This window comes from Homo sapiens, chromosome 7 (genome assembly GCF_000001405.40).
Source record: "Homo sapiens chromosome 7, GRCh38.p14 Primary Assembly".
Taxonomy (NCBI): Eukaryota; Metazoa; Chordata; class Mammalia; order Primates; family Hominidae; genus Homo; species Homo sapiens.
Genome location: NC_000007.14, coordinates 129,091,355 through 129,113,562, shown reverse-complemented (window position 1 = coordinate 129,113,562; position 22,208 = coordinate 129,091,355). Strand labels below are relative to the sequence as shown.

The 22,208-nt window shown below is 44.0% G+C and overlaps 1 non-coding gene and 1 pseudogene across 1 annotated transcript, besides 4 other annotated features; both read left to right on the top strand.

Moving 5' to 3' along the window:
* Window positions 2,370-3,033: an enhancer, noted in NCBI's record as "NANOG-H3K27ac hESC enhancer chr7:128750584-128751247 (GRCh37/hg19 assembly coordinates)". NCBI's record gives its function as "activates a minimal SCP1, AML or CMV promoter by ChIP-STARR-seq in naive and primed H9 embryonic stem cells {active_cell/tissue: H9 hESC(naive and primed)}" and the evidence as "EXISTENCE:reporter gene assay evidence [ECO:0000049][PMID:30033119]".
* Window positions 2,592-2,641: a silencer, noted in NCBI's record as "silent region_18622". NCBI's record gives its function as "represses an Ori minimal core promoter by ATAC-STARR-seq in GM12878 lymphoblastoid cells {active_cell/tissue: GM12878}" and the evidence as "EXISTENCE:reporter gene assay evidence [ECO:0000049][PMID:35858748]".
* LOC124901863 (U4 spliceosomal RNA) lies at window positions 9,863-10,008 on the top strand. The gene has a single exon (XR_007060688.1). It is a non-coding gene; the product is annotated as a U4 spliceosomal RNA (small nuclear RNA).
* Window positions 10,009-10,579: 571 nt separating this feature from the next.
* On the top strand, window positions 10,580-20,535 carry LOC112267982 (zinc finger protein 195-like; annotated as a pseudogene).
* Window positions 14,520-14,679: an enhancer, noted in NCBI's record as "active region_26620". NCBI's record gives its function as "activates an Ori minimal core promoter by ATAC-STARR-seq in GM12878 lymphoblastoid cells {active_cell/tissue: GM12878}" and the evidence as "EXISTENCE:reporter gene assay evidence [ECO:0000049][PMID:35858748]".
* Window positions 18,282-18,331: an enhancer, noted in NCBI's record as "active region_26619". NCBI's record gives its function as "activates an Ori minimal core promoter by ATAC-STARR-seq in GM12878 lymphoblastoid cells {active_cell/tissue: GM12878}" and the evidence as "EXISTENCE:reporter gene assay evidence [ECO:0000049][PMID:35858748]".
* Window positions 20,536-22,208: the final 1,673 nt, after the last annotated feature.

The window sequence follows — 22,208 nt, the reverse complement described above, 5'->3', positions numbered from 1 at the left end:
AACCCACAGGATGACAGAAATGTGCAAATCATATATCTGATAAGGGACTTATATCTGGAATATATTAAGTATTTTAACAACTAAGTAATAAAAAGACAAACAGGCTAATTTAAAAATGGGGAAAGGATTTGAATAGACATTTCTCCAAAGAAGATGTCCAATGAGCACATGAAAAGATGCTCAACATCATTAGCCACCAGGAAATGCAAATCAAAGCCAAAATGAACTAGTACTTCACTGCCACCAGGATGGCTATATTAAAAAGGCAAGTAACAAGTGTTGGTGAGAATGTAGAGAAACTGGAACCTTCATATACTGCTGGTGGGAATGTAAAATTGTGCAGCTGCTTTGGTAAACAGTCTAGTATTTCCTCAAAAGCTTAATCATAGAGTTACCATACAACCCAGCAGTTCCACTCCTGTGTATATCTCCAAGAGAAGTGAAAACGTATCCATATAAACACTTGCACATGAATGTCCATAGCATCATTATTCGTAATAGTCAAAAAAGGGTGGAAACAACTCAAATGTTCATCAACTGATGAATAGATAAGATATGGTATGTATATATCATGAAATACTATTCAGCAATAAAAAGAAAGGAATAGCTGGGTGTGGTGGCTGACACTCGTAATCCCAGCACTTTTTGAGGTTGAGGTGGGAGGATCCCTTGAAGCCAGGTGTTCTAGACCTGCCTGGGCAACAAAGCAAGACCCTGTCTTTACAAAAAATAAAAATTAGCCTGGCATAGTGATGTGTGCCTGTAGTCCCAGCTACTCGGGAGGCTGAAGCAGGAAGATCACTTGAGCCCAGGAGTTTGAGGCTATGGTGAGCTATGATCACATTGTGCTCCAGCCTGGGCCACAAAGCAAGACCCTCATCCCCTCCAAAAATAAATAAAATAGGCTGGGCATGGTGACTCACGCCTATAATCCCAGCACTTTGGGAGGCTGAGGCGGGCAGATCACCTGAGGTCAGGAGTTCGAGACCAGCCTGGCCAACATGGTGAAACCCCGTTTCTACTAAAATACAAACATTAGCCTGGTATGGTGGTGCACACCTGCAATCCCAGCTACTTGGGAGCCTGAGGCAGGAGAATTGCTTGAACCTGGGAGGTGGAAGTTGCAGTGAGCCGAGATCACACCACTGCACTCCAGCCTGGATGACAGAGCTCTGTCTCAAAATAAATAAATAAATAAACATAAATAAATAAAATAAAATAAAAATAAATAAACAAAGGAATTACCAAAACATGCTACAAGTTGGATGAGCCTTGAATACATCACGCTAAGTGAAAGAAGCCAGTCACAAAGAAGCACATAGTGTGTGATTCCATTTGTATAAAATGAAATGTAGAATAGGCAAATCCACATAAAAACAGAAAGTAGATTTTCCTAGGGGTGGGAGCTTGGGGTAGGATGGGGAATAATTACTAAATGGTGTGATGAAAATGTTCTAGAATTATGGTAATTGTGAAATTCCATGTATTTATTAAAGCCATTGCCTTTATACTTTAAATGGGTTAATTGTATGGTATATGAATTATATCTCAACAAAACTGTTATAAAAAAGAATAGTATATTGGGTGGATGTACCACTGAGATTAGTTACGTAGATGTCAGGTACAAGCTTTTCCTCTGTTGTTCATACTGCTTTGTGTTTCATATCATTTAACAGATATTTACTGAGTATCTGGGGTACAGGAGATATAAAAAAGCATGAGAACATCTCATGGCCCAGCCAGGGAGGCAACACCCATGCACAGAAGGTAGCTAACTGGGCAAAGCACACATAGCAAATGCTAGTGGGTTCAGAGGCATGCTTGCCATCATGGGCTGTGCACCCAAAAGGAGGCTTCCCTGATGAGTGAAGAATATTAAAGAATAAATAAGCAGGGCATAGTGGCTTACACCTGTAATCCCAGCACTTCAGGAGGCTGAGGTGAGAGGATTGCTTGAACCCAGGAGTTCAAGACCAGCCTAGGCAACTTGGTGAGACCATGTCTCTACCAAAACAATAAAAAAAAAAATTAGCCAGGCATGGTGGTGCACACCTGTGCCCCCAGCTACTCAGGAGGCTGAGATGGGAGGATCATTTGAGCCTGGGAAACAGAGGCTGTAGCGAGCTGTGATGGTGCTACTGCAGTCCAGCCTGGGTGGCAGAGGGAGACCCTGTCTCAAAGACAATTAAAAAAAAAATTTTTTTTTAAGTTGTAAAACAGAACACAATTATATAAAATCTGAAAATTGTTCTAAGGGCATAGAGCAAATGGAGAAATATTATTGAAGTTCTTACTAAATCTTAGTAATAACAATCTGTCTATGGCATTTAAGGCATGACCTATTCTTTTGCTCCTCCTCCCCCCTCCCTGTTATGGAAACTCTACCTGAGAGCTCTATTCTTGGTAAGAAGGTTTTTACCCAGGTAGGGGCAGGCCACCAGGGTTTCTAATCCCCTCCCTAGTCCTCTGCTGTAGAAGCTGTATTCCAGGCAGGATCTGGTCCCTCCCCTCACCCAACCCCAACTGTAGGAGAGAAATTCTGTTCCAGGCATGGCAGGCTGAGAATACTGGGAGCAGATCACTTCACCTTTCTCCTCCCAGCCAGTTTGTAGAGTGGAGGAGGTTCTACACCAGGAGGGGCAAGCAGAGAGGATCAGTGGCTTTTCCTGCCTCCTCCACTGCCCACTCACAGAGCCAGGTGTCACTACAGGCAACATGGGGCCCCACCCCCAGCTCTGATGCAGTGTCCTGGGGTTCTCCCAGGAAGAAAAGCAGCCCATAATGACAAAGAGCTTTAGAGCTTTACTTGAGGACACAGGCTGTATTGGAACAGAGCCTGGAGAACACTGCCTAAGGGTGTTGTGGAAAACAACAGAGACCTTGAAAGAGAGCAGTTAAGAGGAGGCTGGTAGCTCCATGACACAGCAAAATGGCAGAGCAGCTAGAAATTTCATATAGAGAGCCAGGGAAAGAGAAATCAAAGTACCCTGCAAGCACATTCAGCTCTAGGGCTCAGGAAAGGGTGTGCACATGTTTCTGGTTGCATGGGGCAGACTTGAAAATATTCTCTAAGCCACACACAGGCCCCTTAACAAAGGGCAGAAGCCTCATTGGCACAAAGGCCTTAAACAGAACCTGTGGATAAACACTGACTGAACAATAAACTACTCTGACCAGGGCAACTCCTAGGAAGCCAGGCTTGGAACTAAAATCATGCTCTTCCCTAGTAGTCGAGAACATTCTGGGCACACCCAAGACTGCACCCTATCATGAGCCATCAGAGAGGGAACCTCCATGCTTCTAGGCCCTGGCTAACAATGGGGCAAAAAGAGGTAAAGGGAGATAGGATGACAATGTCTCATCAAATAGAGAATATCAAGTACTATGAACACAGTGAAAAATTCACTACAGGGACTTAACGATAGATTTGTTCTGTCAAAAATAAGAAGCAGGCCAGGTGCATTGGCTTATGCCTGTAATCCCAGTATTTTGGGAAGCCAAGGCAGGAGGATCACTTAAGTTCAAGACCAGCCTGGGTAACATAGTGAGATGACCCCATTTTTACAAAAAATAAAAAAAATTAGCTTGGCATGGTGGTGCATACCTGTAGTCCCAGCTACTTGGGAGGTTGAAGTGGGAAGATCATTTGAGTCCAGGAGGTCAAGGCTGCAGTGAGCTGTGACTGCACCACTGCACTCCAGCCTGGGCAACAGAGTGAGACCCTGTCTCAGTAAATAAATAAATAAATAAATAAATAATCAGAATCAGTGAATTTAAAGCGGATCAATAGAGGTTATACAATCATAAGAGGAAAACAATGGGCCGGGTGCGGTGGCTCACACCTGTAATCCCAGCACTTTGGGAGGCCAAGGCAGGCGGATCATGAGGTCAGGAGATCGAGACCATCCTGGCTAACACTGTGAAATCCCATCTCTACTAAAAATACAAAAACAAAATTAGCCAGGCATGGTGGTGGGTGCCTGTAATCCCAGCTACTTGGGAGGCTGAGGCAGGAGAATGGCATGAACCCGGAAGGCGGAGGTTGCAGTGAGCTGAGATCGCGCCACTGCACTCCAGCCTGGGCAGCAGAGTGAGACTCCATCTCAAAAAAAAAAAAAAAAAAAAAAAAAAGAGGAAAACAGTGGATAAAAATGAACAGAACATCAAAGAAGAGTGAGACACCATTAGATGCACCAACATACACATAATAGTAGTACCAGAAGGAGAGGAGAGAGAAAGAGATGGAAAAAAATATTCAAAGAAATAATTGAATACATTGACACACGGAGGGGAACACCACACATTGGGGCCTGTCAGCAGGGGACGGGGGAGGGAGACCATCAGGAAAAATAGCTAATGCATGTGGAGCTTAATACCTAGGTGACGGGTTGATAGGTGCAGCAAACCACCATGGCACACGTTTACCTATGTAACAAACCTGCACAGCCTGCACATGTACCCTGGAACTTAAAATAAAAAATTAAAAAAAGAAATAATGGCTGAAAACTTCCCAAAGTTGATGGAAAATAGTAATCTTCACATCCAAGACTTGGCCTACTTTCTCCTTGTTGCTGATAGTAAAATGCAAAAGGGAAGAAACAGAGGAAGGAACTGTTAAGCGAAAAGTAATCAGAACTTCATGGAATGCTCTGTTTATTCACTTTGCAAAAGATGAGAAAGTGTGCTCTGGATAAAGCATCAAGGCTGTGGCTCAGCAACCATTTGCTAAGGAGATCAGGCCTGTGACTCATGGATCCAACCATCTCAGCAGAAGGTAGGCATGTAACTCTCCAGGAAGAATCTGTGACAAACCCTCGTGTCTAGTGGCGTGGATTCCCTTGACATCACAGAAGGCAGGGTTTCTGAGAATTTTATACCAACACAAACACAGCCAGTCTGGACTGAATGAGACAGAGATGGAATAAAATGGAGGAAGAATGACTCTGAAGGCGGAGCCATAGATGCAGAGGCCAGAAAGTGTAAAGCCAGGGCTATCATAGAGGCCCAGAAGACACAGCATGGAGCCACAGAGGATTACTCTCAGGCTTTGAAACCTAATGGAATTGGCCCTGTTAGATTGCAAAGTTGCTTTAGACCAATAACCCCCTCTTTTCCTTCTATTTATTTCCCTTTTGGAATGGAACTATATTCATCCTATGCCTGTTCCGCCATTGCATTTAGAAAAGAGATCACTTGTTTTCTAGGTTTAACAGGTCTATGAACAGAGAGGAATTTTGTTGAAAGATGGATCATTCCCAGAGTCTCGCCCATACCTTTTTAGATAATTTAGATGAGGAGATTTGGGACTTCTCGAGTTGATATTTAAATGAGATTTGGGATTTAGAGTTGACACTGGAAGGGTTAAGACTTTTGGGGGTCTTGGGGTAGGGTGAACGTATTGTTCACATGGGGTGTGTGTGAATTTTGGGTACCAGTGAGTAGACTGTACTAGGTTGAACAGTGTCACCTCAAAATTCGTGTCCATGCGGAACCTCAGAATGTAGCCCGGTTTGGAAACAGTGTCTTTGAAGATATAATTAGTTAAGTTAGGATGAGGTCCTGAGATCAGGATGGGTCCTGACTCCAATATGACAGGTGTCCTAGAAGAAAGGACACACAGAGACAGACACAGGGAGGATGCCACGTGACGAAGGCAGAGATTGGAGTCCTGCATCTACAAGCCAACAAATGCCCAGGGATGCCAGCAGCTATGAGAAGCATGAGAGAGGGGTAGGATGGTTTACCCTTTGGGGCCTCCAGAAGAACCAACCCTGATGACATCTTGATTTTGAACTTCTGTCCTCTTGAACTGTGACATGTAAAAAAGTTCTGTTGTTTTAAGGCACCCAGTTTGTGGTCATCTGCTACAGTGGCCCTAGGAAATAAGTACAAATGTCAAGTCCATTCAACAAGGGAAGAACTGTCTTTTCAAAAATGATGCTGAGACAACTGGGTATCTGCATGTAAAAGAAGGGAGTTGGACCCATACCTTACATCACACACAAAAATTCACTTAACATGGTTTACAATACCTAAGTGTAAGAATTAAAATCAGCCGGGTGTCATGGCTCATGCCTGTAATCCCAACACTTTGGGAGGCCAAGATGGGCAGATCACCTGAGGTTGGGAGTTCGAGACCAGCCTGACCAACATGAAGAAACACCGTCTCTACTAAAAATACAAAATTAGCCAGGCGTGGTGGTGTGTGCCTGTAATCCCAGCTACTTGGGAGGCTGAGGCAGGAGAATTGCTTGAACCTGGGAGACGGAGGTTGTGGTGAGCTGAGATCGTGCCATTGCACTCCAGCCTGGGCAACAAGAGTAAAACTCCATCTCAAAAAAAAAAAAAAAAAAAAAGAACTAAAATTATAAAACTTTCATAAGAAAACCATAACCATATAGGTAAACCTTCGTGACCTTGGATTAGGCAATGGTTTCTTAAACATGACACCAGAAGCAAAAGCAAATAAAGAAAAAACAGATAAACTGGAATTTATCAAAATTAAAACTGTATTTTTTATTTAAAAAATTTTGTAGTCTGGGCACAGTGGCTCATGCCTGTAATCCCAGCACTTTGGGAGGCTGAGGTGGGTGGATCATGAGGTCAAGAGTTCAAGACCAGCCTGGCCAAGATGGTGAAACCCCGTCTCTACTAAAAATACAAAATTTACCTGGGTGTGGTGGCAGGCCCCTGTAATCCCAGCTACTCTGGAGGCTGAGGCAGAAGAATCGCTTGAACCTGGGCTGCAGAGGTTGCAGTGAGCCGAGATCTCGCCACTGCACTCCAGCCTGGGCGATAGAGTGAGACTCCGTTTCAAAAAAAAAAAAAAAATTATGCTGTAAGGGACACCGTTAAGAAAGTGAAAGGACAAGCCACAGAATCGGAGAAAACATTTCCAAATCACTTATCTGATAAATGACTTATATCAAGAAAATACAAAAAGTAACTCTTAGGTCGGGCATGGTGGCTCATTCCTGTAATCCTAGGACTTTGGGAGGCCACGGTAGCCAGGTCACCTGAGGTCAGGAGCTCAAGACCAACCTGGGCAACATGGTGAAACTCCAGCTCTCCAAAAAAAGAAAAAGATAAAGAAAAAAAATACAAAAAATTAGCTGGGCATGGTGGTGCACATTTGCGGTCCCAGCTACTCAGGAGGCTGAGGTGGGAGGATCTCTTGAACCTGAGATGTGGAGGCTGCAGTGAGCCGAGATGGTGCCACTGTACTCTAACCTGGGTGACAGAGTGAGACTCTGTCTCAAAAACAAAAACCAAAAAACAGAAAAACAAAAAACAAAGACAGATTAAAAAAAAAGTAACCCCTACAACTCAACAATAAGAAGACAAATAACCCAATTTAAAAATGGGCAAAAGATCTAAATAGACATTTATCCAAATAAGAGATAAAAATGGCCAAAAAGCAAACGAAAAGATGCTCATCATTAGTCACCAATAATCATCGAGGGGTGAATTTTATGGTTTTCGAGTTAGAGTTCACATAAAAAGCAGCTGTGTAAAATAACATGTATGGAATTATATTTTTAGGACGATGACATGTAAAAATGTAATATACTTGACAATAACAGCACAAAGGAGGCAGGTGGGAGCAAAGCTATATGGGAGTGAGGAAATAACAGCAGATAGGAACTGAAATCCATAGGAAGAAATCAAGAGGAACAGGAAGGGTAAATAAGATTAATATAACTAACTCTATAAATATGTACTTGGTCTTCTTCTCTCAGGTTCTTTCAAAGTAATAATTATAGCCAGGTACAGTGGCTTATGCCTGTAATCCCAGGACTTTGGGAGGTCAAGATGGGCCAGGAGTTCGAGACCAGCCTGGGCAAAATAGTGAGACCTTGTCTCAATTAAAAAAAAATTAAATAAAAATTAAAAAGTAATAATTATAACACCATACTGTTGGATTTATGATACAAAGAAGCAATATGTGTAACAATAATATCACAAAAAGAGGGAGAAAGGAACACCACTATTTAAGAGTAAAGTTTATATATCTCACTGAACTATTTAAAATATAAATGCCTACGTCTGCTGAATCAGAATTTCAGGGAAATGGCCAGACCTTTCTTAGCCCTTACAGTGCCTTTGTGTGAGTTCAAAAAAGCTTCCTTTTCTCCAGTCAAAGGTAGTTCCATGCTAGGGCCAAAGGCTTAGCAAGGAGAGCGTGAGCTGGAACAACCCCCTCACCCTAGTGCAGTGAATAACCTACACAGCTGTCTGAGGGAGGTGGCCCCAGGCATGACCCACATATTTATTTTAAAATGGCTCCTCTAATAATTCTAATGGACAACCAGTGTTGAGAACTACTGGGTTAGGGAAGCATTCAAAAAGAATCTAGTCTAAAGTATCAGAAAACTGATTAAATATGAGAGATAATTGTTAGAGAGGATTTAGAGGGAAGATTTTCAGGTTTTTTAATCCCAGGGACTGAGAAATTGGTAACAGAAATAGAGGAGATGGAAGGAAAAACCTGATTTGGAGGGAATGAATTCACTTTTAATTATTTTGATTTTGGGCCAGGCATGGTGGCTCATGCCTGTAATCCCAGCACTTTGGGAGGCCAAGGTGGGTGGATCACTTGAGGCCAGGAGTTCGAGACCAGCCAGCCCAACATGGCGAAACCCCGTCTCTACTAAAAATACAAAAATTATCCGGGTGTGGCGGTGGTGCACGTCTGTAATCCCAGCTACTCAGGAGGCTAAGGCACAAGAATTGCTTGAACCTGGGAGGTGGAGGTTGCAGTGAGCCAAGATTGGGCCATTGCACTCCAGCCTGGGCGACAAAGCAAGACTGTCTCAAAACAAAAACAAAGGCCGGGCATGGTGGCTCACGCTTGCAATCCCAGCACTTTGGGAGGCCGAGGCAGGCGGATCACGAGGTCAGGAGATCGAGACCATCCTGGCTAACACGGTGAAACCCCATCTCTACTAAAAATACAAAAAAATTAGCAGGGCGTGGTGGCGGGCGCCTGTAGTCCCAGCTACTCGGGAGGCGGAGGCAGGAGAATGGTGTGAACCCAGGAAGCGGAGCTTGCAGTGAGCCGAGATCGTGCCACTGCACTCCAGCCTGGGCGACAGAGCAAGACTCCATCTCAAAAAAAAAAAAACAACAACAAAACAAAAAACCAAAAAAAAAATTATGTTGAATTTGAGGCCATGGCAAGATATTACATTGCAGTTGGAATGCCACACTGAGAACTGAAAGATAGATGGTTCTGAACTCAAAAACTTTGTATTTAGGAAGCACCACATAGCACAGTGATAATGAAAATAGATACCCCATATAAAGAGCCTACTCAGTGCTTTACCCAGTGCTGGACAGTGTGTATAAATACGAGCAGCAGTTGGCATGAGGCTGATGGAAGATGGTCACTCATAAGCAATTATTTACCCTAAAAACACATGTGTTTGGCCAGTGACCTGGACTGGACTGGATGAAGGCCAGGGTCAGAAAGTGAAGTGTGACTGGGAGGATGGAGGTGGCCTGTAAGTGATGCCAGCAGGTGGCTGAGGAGGATGCCACCACTTGAGGTTCCAGGGCACCACCCTGAGATCTTGAAACAGGTGAGGCTCAGTATTATTGTGACAAATGGGTGATAAAAATGACAATGGCTTCCCAAGTTCCACGGCCAGCTGCCATGGGGTCTCATGTGGGACAAACCCCTTTCCGCCCCTCATCCCCACTACAGTGTGTCTGGCATTGACATTCACCAAAACCAGAAGCCTGAGTGTGTTTGTGTCTGGGTTCATTGGACTGGCCCTGGTTGATGAACTGGCTCAAGATTCAAAACTTTTGTGGTTTGGCCCATGGATACTTTCCTGCAGAAAAAAAAAAAAAAGGCCAGAGCTTTGCACAGTGGCAGTATTGTAGCCGATGAGGTTTATCCAAGGCATGATTATTGCTAATTGAAATTCAAAAAAAGCTGGGGGGAGAAAAAGGCCAGCATGAAGAAAAAGAGGAAGGTACAGAATGATTGGAATTGGCAGGTTATTGGAGGAGGGGCACACAGCAAGTCCCACCCCATAGCATAAAGGACACTTAACTGTATGGGCATACACACAGCTATAGTTGTCCCCATGGGCCTCAGTGCTGTGGACAGGCCCAGCCAGTCTCAGGGCTTGGCCAGACTGGTGAGCAGGTGTAGACAGGTAGCCAGCCTACATTTGTGCCATACCACAAGTCTACCATTTCTGTAAGGCCACCTCCTAGGGCATCTGAGCTGGTTGATAGCATCATTATGCTCAAGCCACCCTGGAAGTTTGCGCATAGGTCAAATCCAGAGCCAGGAAACCGAATGCCATGAAAGAGAGGCTCACTCTCTCCTTCCTTAGCTGAAATGGCAGATGATTGATGCCTGCTGGGGTCTGTTGTATTCCAAATGGTCCCATGAGGAATACAGCAGAATGGATTCTGTTTAGGGTCTCTCTGACTACATGAGGGGCACAAACCATTTCAGAGTTTCTCAATAGGTCAGGAAAACAGAAATTATTCTATGATTTTCCTTGCCCGCAAAGTATGAGGCCAGGAAGGTCAAAAAATGATGCCAACGAAGCAGGCTAGCATGAGACAGCAGAGGCTTTGGTGCAGTGTTGGGGAAGAGGAAGAAGACTGTGGACTTGGCCTGCACTGGGGGAGGATGGGAATGGCGCTGCAGGCTCAGAACTTTGGCTCCTCTGACTGTAAAAGCTGGAATTCACCTCTAGAAGGAGAAAGTTTCTTTGCAACACCAAGTTAGCCAAGCGGAACGAATGCAGAGCCCCTGCAAGCTCTTCCTTCTCGCCTGACTGGGAATCTCAGAGCTTGTGAGTTAGTTACTGAATAACTGGTAGCAGCAGCTGACGTGACCCAAAGGCCTTTCATAGAATCAGCAGTTTAAAGAACTGCAGCCAGACAGTGAGTCCAAGGTCAAAAGTTGGGAGAAACCAGATCCTGGGCTTCATTGCAGAGCTACAGGGCAGGGAGAAACCAGTCCAACACATGTAATGCAGGAGCAAGTATATGCAGCAGAAGGGAAGAAAGGAATGTGTGCAGGATTGAAATCTGCCCTCAGCTCGGGCACAATGGCTCACGCCTGTAATCCCAGCACTTTGAGAGGCCAAGGCGGGCGGATCACCTGGGGTCAGGAGTTCAAGACCAGCCTGACCAACATGGAGAAACCCCGTCTCTACTAAAAATACAAAATTAGCTGGGTTTGGTGGTGCATACCTGTAATGCCAGCTAACTCAGGAAGCTGAGGCAGGAGAATCACTTGAACCCAGGAGGCGGAAGTTGCGGTGAGCCGAGATCGTGCCATTGCACTCCAGCCTGGGTAACAAGAATGAAACTCCATCACAAAAAAAAAAAAAAAAAAAAGAAATCTGCCCTCAGATTGTCTTGATGCAGTGGGTACTGAGCCATCACCTACCCAACTGAGCTGGACATGATGAGTTTTGTGTCTTTAGAGTGTCTATAAACATAGACCCTTGGAGTGGATCATGAGTTGTCATCCCCTAATTCCTCTTGTCTTCTACTTCTAACATGCCAAGAGGCATGTTACTAATTATATGGCTCCTTTGCAAAACCTCCCAAGGGGCCTGCCTTCCTCTCGCTATTCCCGTGGGCGGAGTTCGCTTAGCACTTAAGCACATCTATTTTTTCACTTAACTTGCTCCACTGAGAGTATTTCCATAGCTCTTTCTCTTCACTGGATTGTGATTTATTGAGGGTAGAGCCATTTCGTATTCAGTTGTATTTATGTTAGCAGGGCTCGACTCAGTATTGGGTGCATAGGAAGTACTCAACAAACACCTAGCAAATGAAGGACTCATTGAACCCCAGTTTCAAGGCATACTTACATTAACCTGGCCCTCCTCTCCTTCTGCAGTCTCACCTCCCATTCACTCTTAGCTCCAGCCACTTCTTTCTATCTGAAGTTCCCAGCCAAGAACACAGCCCTTTGTATCTACATCTTTGTGCTTTCTCTACTGCTCTCCCAACATTCTGAAATTCTCTTCTTCCCTCTCTTTGCTTTTGGACATGCAATTTCACCCTTACCTCTCCACCCACTGGGCTGGGAGCTCCTTGAAGGCAGGACAGTGGGCTTATTTTTATTTCCCACAGAGCCGGTCTGGTGCCTAGCACTCAGCAGAGGCTCAATTGGTGTTTGCTAAGGGAAGGAATGAATTACTCTGGCTTTGACTGAAACTATGTTCTGGCCTCCATCAGGCAGCTCCTCATTATGTCTTAGTTAATTGCCATTTGTTTAGGAGGATTTGCTCAGGAAGGAGGAGATGAGTAACTAACCAGTGGGGAAAGTCAGTATTAAATGGGGCTTTGAGCAGGAGTAGTTTGAAAATTGTTGGCTTAATCAAGAGTGGCTAGCTACTTCCATTTCACCAGGTCCACACATTTAATAGGGTGAAGCCATCTTGGATTTGTTATAGGGGATGTCCTGGCTCTCCCTTATTCCACAAGAGCCAAATGGGTTCAGGAAAGAGGTCAGTGTGGAGAGACATCTCCACCCCACTCTCTGTTCCTGCCCCAGCCCTGGAACAATGCCAGATATACACAAAATTATGAAGTGGATAAGGTTTGGCTTTGTCCGTGTCCTATTAATACTTGTATGTCTCTTTTCCCTCGTTGTCTCCTTCTAACTCTTTCCCAGTTTATAGACTAAATGTTTCTGCTCTGTTTTCATCCCTCCAGGGTGGAGGGAAGGGAATATAATATGATTAATCAGTAACCAGGGATGAAAAACTCTAACCCTCTCAGAGGCCAAGGGAAACAAGCCAAGTTGGCTGGGTAGGGACAAAGTGACCATGTCCTAGTGAAAGGGGCAGCTGCTTCCCTGCTCAGGTGGTTGGTTGTTCACAGGCACCATGGGCCCAGGGCTGCGTGATCTTGTGTCTTGCAAAATCGCCCTTGCTATGAGCCTTGACATTGCCAGGAAAAACTGTTAAAGACTAGGAAAAGGGCAAAAGAGATTATTGGGTGTCCTTTCAGTGGATTGTAGGGTGTAGTCTCACACATTCTCTAAGGATGATGTTACTCTATAGGAGCTTGTGCGGTCGACAGATTTTTTTTTTTTTTTTGAGACAGAATCTTGCTCTGTCGCCCAGGCTGGAGTGCAGTGGCATGATCTCTGCTCACTGCAGCATTCGACTCCTGAGCTTAAGCGATTCTCCTGCCTGAGCCTCCCGAGTAGCTGGGATTACAGGCACCCACCACCACACTCGGCTAATTTTTGTATTTTTAGTAGAGACAGGGTTTCACCATGTTGGCCAGGCTGCTCTCAAACTCCTGACCTCAAGTGATCCATCCGCCTCAGCCTCCCAAAGTGCTGAGATTACAGGCGTGAGCCACTGCGCCCAGCCCCATGGATCTTGAGATGGGGAGATTGTTCCTGATTATACAGGTAGGCCCAAAGTAATTACAGGGGTCCTTATAAGTGAAAGAGGGAGGCAGAGAGTCAGAGTCAAAGGTGTGACCATGGAAGCAGAGAACCTGAGGTGATGCAAAGTGAAAAGCACACAACCAAAACCATTACTGGCTTTGGAAATGGAGGAATAGGCCATGAGCCAAGGAATGTGAGTAGCCTCTAGAAGGTAGAAAAAGCAGCCAGGCACAGTGGCTCACAGCTGTAATCCCAGCACTTTGGGAGGCCAAGGCAGTCAGATCATCTGAGGTCAGGAGTTCGAGACCAGCCTGGCCAACATGGTGAAACCCTGTCTCTATTAAAATACAAAATGCAGGGCGTGGTGGCTCACGCCTGTAATCCTAGCACTTTGGGAGGCTAAGGTGGGCAGATCACTTGAGGTCAGGAGTTCGAAAACAGCCTGGCCAACATGATGAAACCCTGTCTCTACTAAAAATACAAAAAAAATTAGCTGGGTGTGATGGCGGGCACCTGTAATCCCAGCTGCTTGGGATGCTGAGGCAGGAGAATTGCTTGAACTCGGGAGGTCGAGGCTGCAGTGAGCTGAGATCATGCCACTGCACTCCAGCCTGGGTGACAGAGCGAGAGCTTGTCTCAAAAAACAAACAAACAAAAAAACCTTGTCCCGTGGAGAATATAAACCTCTGTAGGTAAAATTCTCATTAGAGTTTGTTTCAACATCTTATTGGTTCCTTTATTAATTGAGTTGAATAAAATATTTGATGCATGTTAATTTGATATTTGCGTAAGTTCATGTTATCAACTTTTTTTTAAAAAAAAACTCTACTTTAACAATGAAACGTTCATATTCTGCACCCCTGTGCCTTTGAATTTAAGCTGTAGTCATACTTTTGAATCCACTGTGACATCACTCACTAATTTGATTTCTATTTTTCAAGCAGTTAATTATCACACATTTCAAGAAGGCATGTGCTAGCAAGGCCTGCAGTTGGGATCCCAATGGGAAGGTGTTATATTTACCAAGATTTTGGTTACGATGAGCTACTGCATTTGGACTTGAGAAAGTGTCAAACAGTATATTTTTTCAACAGCTAAAGCCTTAAGGAGTATTTTCTACTGAGCCAATAGATATGCATTTTAACACTTTTTTTCCTGATAGTGATAGTTCATACTAATATCTACCATGTTACTGCTGAACGTATTTGTCAACAGGGAGTGGGAAGATCAAAAGCACTATGTGCATGAGTAACTAACTAGTCTACCTTGCAAATTGTTGCCAACATGGGGCAGGGCTGGGTGGTGCATGAACCAGCAGCTAAGCGATGGAGTGGGAAGGACGGAGACTTGCTCCAAGCAGCTTGCAGCAGGTGCAGTGAGACATAGTAAATGCTGCTGCTGCTACAAAATGCAGAGGCCAGCCTCATAGTTGGGACACCGAGGCTCAGAGATGTGAAGTGGCTTACTCGGGGTCTCACTGAGAGTGAATGACTGAGTGCCAAACCCAGGTCTTTCTCAGCCAAACCTCGGCTTTTTGGTTACATTGCATATTTCAGGCTGGAAATATGCTGGACAGTGCTTGTAGTGTAGTGTCGTCAGTAGGACAAGTACCACCTCAAGGAGCTGTGGGTTGTCACAATGATTGAGGGACCCTACCACCCTTTAGGGGGCATGGGGCCAGGGTTGCTATGTTGTTCTGCAATGAATGTGACAATCCTGTAAAATAAAGACTTGTCCAGCTTTCGAATGTATCCTCAGATATTCATGTAGGTGAAAAACTGTCCATAATTATCTGAGCCTAAAACTCAGATAATGATTTAAAAAACATGTCAAAAATTAACACAGTTAATTTCCCTGGAATACAACTACCATATAAAAGATTATTGTACTTTGTTTCATTCACAGTTTTACCTAGAGCTGTTCACCAATGTGGAAAATTACGTCAGGGACAGCAGAGACAGTCTGTTTGTAGAGGAAAGTATCTAGCATTCCATTACATGTTCTAATACAGCTGTGCCCAGAATTTATTATTGTTTTCCTTATAATTATTTAGTTATTAATTATTCTATTTGTAATCATTGTAATTATTATTTTAGTTTGAGACAGAGTCTCGCTCTGTTGCCCACGCTGGAGTGCAATGGTGTGATCACGGCTCACTGCAGCCTCAACCTCCCAGGCCCAAGCAATCCTGAATGATCCTCCCGCTTCAGCCTCCCAAGTAACTGGGACCATCGGCACGTGCCACCACATCTGGCTATTATTTTTTTTAAAATTTTTGTAGAGACAGGGTCTTCCTATGTTGCTCAGGCTGTTCTTGAACTCCTGGGCTCAAGCGATCTTCCCACCTTGGCCTCCCAAAGTTCTGGGATTACAGGCATGAGTTACTGTGCCGGGCCAGTAATTATTTATTATAAATTACTATCCTTTTATTTCTCCTTTATATCATAGAGGCAATATATGGATTATCTTTTTTTTTTTTTTTAGAGATAGGGTCTCACTATGTTGCCCAGGCTGGAGGGCAGTGGCTATTCACAGGTATGAGCATGGCATATTACAGCCTCAAACTCCAGGGACTCAAGCAGATCCTTTTGCCTCAGCCTCCTGAGTAGCTGGGACTACAGGTGGGCACCACCGTGCTTGGCTTGATTATCTTTTGAAATTATAAATTTAATTTCATTGTAGTAAAGGGGATGATATAAAATATTTATTATAAAGGTGGAGGAATTCAATGGAGTTGAGAACTATTATGGTGAAATGAGTATTTGGTCAGGAAGTTGCAAAACGTTGAGAATCTTGGTTCTGCCACTTATTTCGAGCATGTCACAACCCCTCCAAGATGGCTTCCTTCTAGGTAAAACATAACCTCAGTCTTCTACTTTCCAGAGTACTTGCTGTATTAGCCAAATGAGATCATGCAAATACCGTACAGGTGTAAGGATTATCTCTCTATGTCGCTCATGAATAGAACTTGCTTGTTTGGGATTAAACTGAATTCTTAACAATGCTCTTATCACATTCATGGTGGATAAATTCAGACTTTAAATTGTTTGCCTAAAAGCCTTAAATAGGCACTTGACAAAAGAAGATATCCAAACCAAATGGCTGATAAGTTCCTGGAAAGGTGCTTTAGTTATTAGGGAAATGTAAATTAAAAGAACAAGGCAATAAATACTATTACTCACATACCAGGATAACTAAATGAAAAATAACATACCAATTGTTGTAAAGAACATGAAACTCTCATATATTGCTGATGGGAATATAAATTAGTACAATACTTTGGAAAGCTGGCAGTATCAGTGAAAGCAATCCTATGACCCAGCAATTTCACTCTTAGTTATGAAGCCAACAGAAATGTGTGCATATATTTCCCAAAAACTAAATACAAGAATGGGCTGTGATCGGCAGACTTGTGATCTGTAGGTACTTGGAGATCCGTAGGGAGAACACCAGGACACCCTAGAAGCTGGGAAGTGAGTCTGTTGACTTTCAGGGATGTGGCTGTATTCTCTCCAGAGGAGTGGGGATGCCTGGACCCTGCACAGCAGAATTTGTATAGGGATGTGTTGTTAGAGAACTACAGAAACCTGGCCTCCCTGGGTTTTGCTATATCTAAGTCAGACGTGATCACCTGCCTGGAGCAAAGGAAAGAGCCCTGGAATGTGAAGAGACAGGAGCCAGGAGCCAAACACCCAGTTATGTCTTCTCATTTCACTCAAGACCTTTTGCCAGAGCAGGGCATAAAAATTCATTCCAGGCCGGGCGCGGTGGCTCACACCTGTAATCCCAGCACTTTGGGAGGCTAAGGCGGGCAGATCACGAGGTCAGGAGTTTGAGACCAGCCAGTTCAAGACCAGCCTGGCCAACATGGTGAAAATCTGTACTAAAAATACAAAAATCAGCTGGGTATGGTGGTGCACACCTGTAATCCTGCTACTCAGGAGGCTGAGGCAGGAGAATTGCTTCAACCTAGGAGACGGAGGTTGCAGTGAGTGGAGATTGCACCACTACACTCCAGACTGGGCAACAGAGCAAGACTCCGTCTTGGAAAAAAAAAAAAAAAGATTCATTCCAAAAAGTGATACTGAAAAGATATGGAAGCTGTAGCCTTCAGAATTTACATTTAAGGAAAGACAGGAAAAGTTTGGGTGGACATCATTCATATACACTTTTCCACGGAAGATTAAGAACTCTGAAATGTAAGAGGCATGAAGAAAATCTAGGTGGACAGGCCATTTGTGATTTACTTTTAGGTTATGTAAGTGATGCATGAGAGACAGGGTTTTGCAATGTTGCCTAGGCTGGTCTTGAACTCCCGGTCTCAAGTGATCCTCCTGCCTTGGCCTCCCATAGTGTTGGGATTTCAAGCGTGAGCCACTGTGCCTGGCCTATTTCTCACTTTCATATATGATCTCTTCCTTTATTTTCATGGGTGCAGTTCACAGTCTACAGTTTTTATTCTTAGTTACCTAACTATAGCCAAGTCCTTGGTCATTCTCTCTAGAAAATTCTCAGAGACTGTGGAAGCTTTTGTTTCTGTTTTGTTTGTTTTGTAGCAATGGGGTCTCACTATGTTGCCCAGGCTGGTCTCAAAATCCTGGACTTGAGCCATCCTCCCGCCTCAGCCTCCCAAAGTGCTGGAATTACCGGTGTGAGCCACTGTGCCTGGTCTGCGGAAGCTTGTGGTTTGAAACATTTCTTCAGTGATTTTGGATGCAAACTTTATTCTGTGTTCAGAGCGGCCAGAAATGGAACTGTTACCACTTCCTGTCTCTGTAGTGTCTTCCACGCCATCACCATCAGCACTAGAAACTCCAGGTGCACAAGGTTAAAGTCAAAGTCCTAAAGCACTTCAGTGGCTTCCGTGTTGTATGCCATGTGTTAAACATGCTGGTAATCATCAGAGTTTGTATGCTTAGGACTAACTAGTGGAACAACAAAAACACCACAAGAACTATATATTTTTGATAATTTCAGCTAAGGTTATGACAAAGACACAGACTCAGTATTTGGAATACAGATATCCTTTCTTTTTTTTTTCTGAGACTCGCTCTGTTGCCCAGGCTGGAGTGCAATGGCATGATCTCGGCTCACTGCAACCTCCACCTGCAGGGTTCAAGCGATTCCCCTGCCTCAGCCTCCTGAGTAGCTGGGATAACAGGCACGTGCCACCACGCCCGGCTAATTTTTGTCCTTTTAGTAGAGACAGGGTTTCGCCATGTTGACCAGGCTGGTCTCGAACTCCTGACCTCAGGTGATCCATCCACCTCGGCCTCCCAAAGAGCTGGGATTACAGGTGTGAGCCAACCATGCCCAGCCTACTGCTATCCTTTCATAATGTGTTCCAAAGTTTTATTTACTTTTTTTGGCCAGGCATAGTGGCTCACACCTCTAATCCCAGCACTTTGGGAGGCCGAGGTGAGGGGAATGCTTGAGCCCAGGAATTCAAGACCCAGCCGGTACAACATAGTGAGATCCTGTCTCTACACACACCCTCCGAACAGCCAGGCATGATGGTGCACGCCTCTAGTTCCACCTAGCTGGGAGACTGAGGTGGGAGGATCGCTTGAGTACAGGAGGTAGAGACTGCAGTGAGCCATAATTTCACCTCTGCACTCCAACCTGGGTGACCTTGAGACCCTGTCTCAAGGAAAAAAAAAAAAAAAAAAAAATATATATATATATATATATATATATATATATATGTAGCTATATATAGGTAGATAGATATTGATATATAATTTATTTACTTTTTAAATTGTCAGATAAAATTTTATGCATTTATCATTTACAACATGATGTTTTGAAGTATATATACATTGTTGAATGCTTAATTCTAGCCAATTAAGTGCTTTACCTCACAGAGTTATGATTTTTGTAGTGACAGCACTTAACATCAAGTGTCTTAGCATTCTTCAAAGATAGAATATATCATCATTAACTACAGTCATCATGCTGTGTGACAGATCTCTTGAGCTTATTCCTCCTATCTAACTGTAATTAGGTGTGCTTTGGCAGACATCTCCCCAAACCTCCCCGTAAAACCCCAGCCTCTGGTAACCACCATTCTGCTCTCTGATTCAATGAGGTCAACTTGTTTAGATTCCACATATGAGTGAGATTATGAGGTATTTGTTTTTCTGTGTCTGGCTTATTTCAATTACCATAATGTCCTCCAGGTTCATCCACATGATTGAAAATGACAAGATTTTCTTTTCTTATGGCTGAATAATACTCCATTGTGTATATACACCACATTTTCTTTACCCATTCATTTGATTATGGACATTTTTAGGTTGATTTTTAATCTTGGCTATCATCAATAGTGCTGCAATAAACATGGAAGTTCAATAAATAAATAGGATTCATAATGCCTGTTGTTTTCTTATATCCATATATATAAATCATGTTTCTAGGTATATAAATGTCCCATTAATCCCTTTGATCACTCTAGAAAATGCTGTTTTTTCTTGAATACAAGAATGTTCAAAGAAGCACTCTTATAATAGCCCTAAACTATAAATATCCAAAATGTCTACCATGAATAAAATGGATACATTGTGGTATATTTCTACAATGGCATACTAGCACAATAGGAAAGAATGGTGTGCAACAACATAGATTAATTCACAGTGCTCAGCAAAAGGCATATATGTGAGTACATATTGTGTGATTCCTTCTATATGAAATTCAAAAGCAGATAAAATTAATCTATGATGTTAAAAATCATAATAGGAGTTACAGTGGGGGTGATTTGTGACTGGGAGGAACATGAAGGGGGGCATTAGGGAATGCTGGTAATGTTCTCTTTTTTGATCTGGAGGCTTAGTTACACAGGTGTACTCTGTGAAAATTATTTGAATGGTACATTTATGATTTGTGCATTTTTCAATTTTTGTTATAATTTGATTAATTTTTTTTTTTAGATGGAGTCTTGCTCTGTCACCCAGTCTGGAGTGCAGTGGTGCAATCTCTACCTGGTGCAACCTCTGCCTCCCGGATTTAAGCGATTTTCCTGCCTCAGCCTCTTGAGTAGCTGGGACTACAGGTGCACGCCACCATGCCCGGCTAATTTTTGTGTTTTTGGTAGAGATGGGGTTTCACCATGTTGGCCGGGCTGGTCTGGGACTCCTGATCTCAAGTGATCCACTCGCCTCAGCCTCCCAAAGTGCTGGGATTACAGGCCTGAACCACCACGGCCAGCCCATAATTTGATTATTATTTTTTTAAGTTAATTAACTAGCTGGGTGTGGTGGTACATGCCTGTAATCCCAGCTATTCGGGAGGCTGAGGCAAGAGAATCGCTTGAACCCTGGAGGCAGCGTTTGCAGTGAGCCAAGATCAGCACCACTGCACTCCCACCTGGGTGACAGAGTGAGACTCCATCTCAAAAAAATAGGCCTGGCGCGGTGGCTCATGCCTGTAATCCCAGCACTTTGGGAGGCTGAGGCTGGTGGATCACAAGGTCAGGAGATCGAGACTATCCTGGCTAACATGGTGAAACCCCGTCTCTACTAAAAACACAAAAAATTAGCCGGGCGTGGTGGCACTCCCCTGTAGTCTCAGCTACTCGAGAGGCTGAGGCAGGAGAATCGCTTGAACCCGGAAGGTGGAGGTTGTAGTGAGCCAAGATCGAGCCACTGCACTCCAGCCTGGGCGACAGAGGGAGACTCCATCTCAAAATTAAATTAAATTAAAAGTTAATTAACTAGCCAGACTAGTTACACTACTGTACACTAGGTACACTAGTGTGTACCTGTAATCCTAGCTACTTGGGAGGCCGAGGTGGGAGGACTGCTTGAGCCCAGGAGTTCAAGTCCAGCCTGGGCAACACACTGAGACCCCTGTCTCTTAAAAAAAAAAAAACAGTTGATGAAACAAAAATAATTGTTTAGCGGCCTTGTGCCGCTTTGGTCATATGTTTTGCTCTCTCTTCTTGTGACCAAGCCCTGGCAAGTTTAAGACTCTATTTGTGACCACAAAGCTAAGGGGTCCTTACAGGGGTGAAGGTTATGATCTCAGCTCCAAGATAACTGGTCCTGGAACCTAAACCAAGGGTGTGGGCAGGCCTACCCTTTTGCAAAATACTAGAAAGGCATTTGTAATTTTTTTTCAGTTTTTTTTTGTTGTTGTTGTTTGTTTGTTGTTTTTTCCATTTTTTTCTTCTCATTCTGGAAGAGGAAGAGAAGTGAGAAAAGGCAGTGAGAGTGGCTTACATAAGATGAAGTTTGTGAAAACACCTTGTAAACTGCAGGTTTTCTCATTACAAAGCAGTTTTTAATAGTGGGCAACGATAAGTGGGAGAACTGGGTTTGGGAAGCAGAAAGGGTGAGGAAAAAGAGAAAAAGTCATAATGAAGAGCGTCCCTCTGGTGATACCTTTTTTCCCTCCTTGCACCTGCCTTGGATCCAAGAAGAGCTTCCGGTCTTTGTTACAGTCAGCCCCTGGCGTCTGTTCCCCTAGCCAGGCGGAGTCCCGCTTTCTACCGCAAGAGGGCGATATGGCCACACTGAGCTGGGACCCAATTGCAGAATTGAGAGGAGTCGCTGTGGCCTGGGTTTAATCTGGCTTTGAGGGCTAGACCCCCGACTGGCCAAACCCTCCTCTGTCCCCTCCTGCCCCAAGCCAAGCTATGGAGAAACTGTGGAGCAGAAGAGCAGGGAGGCATTTCGCAAGTTGCATTTCATCTCTGGCGCATTGAAATTTAGGGCATGGGGTTGGGAAATTTGAGGGTGTTTTTTTTTCTTCCTGTGGTCTCATGGAGAATAAAATGTGCATTGCCTCTGCAAAGAGCTTGAAGACCAGGGCCAGGAATCAA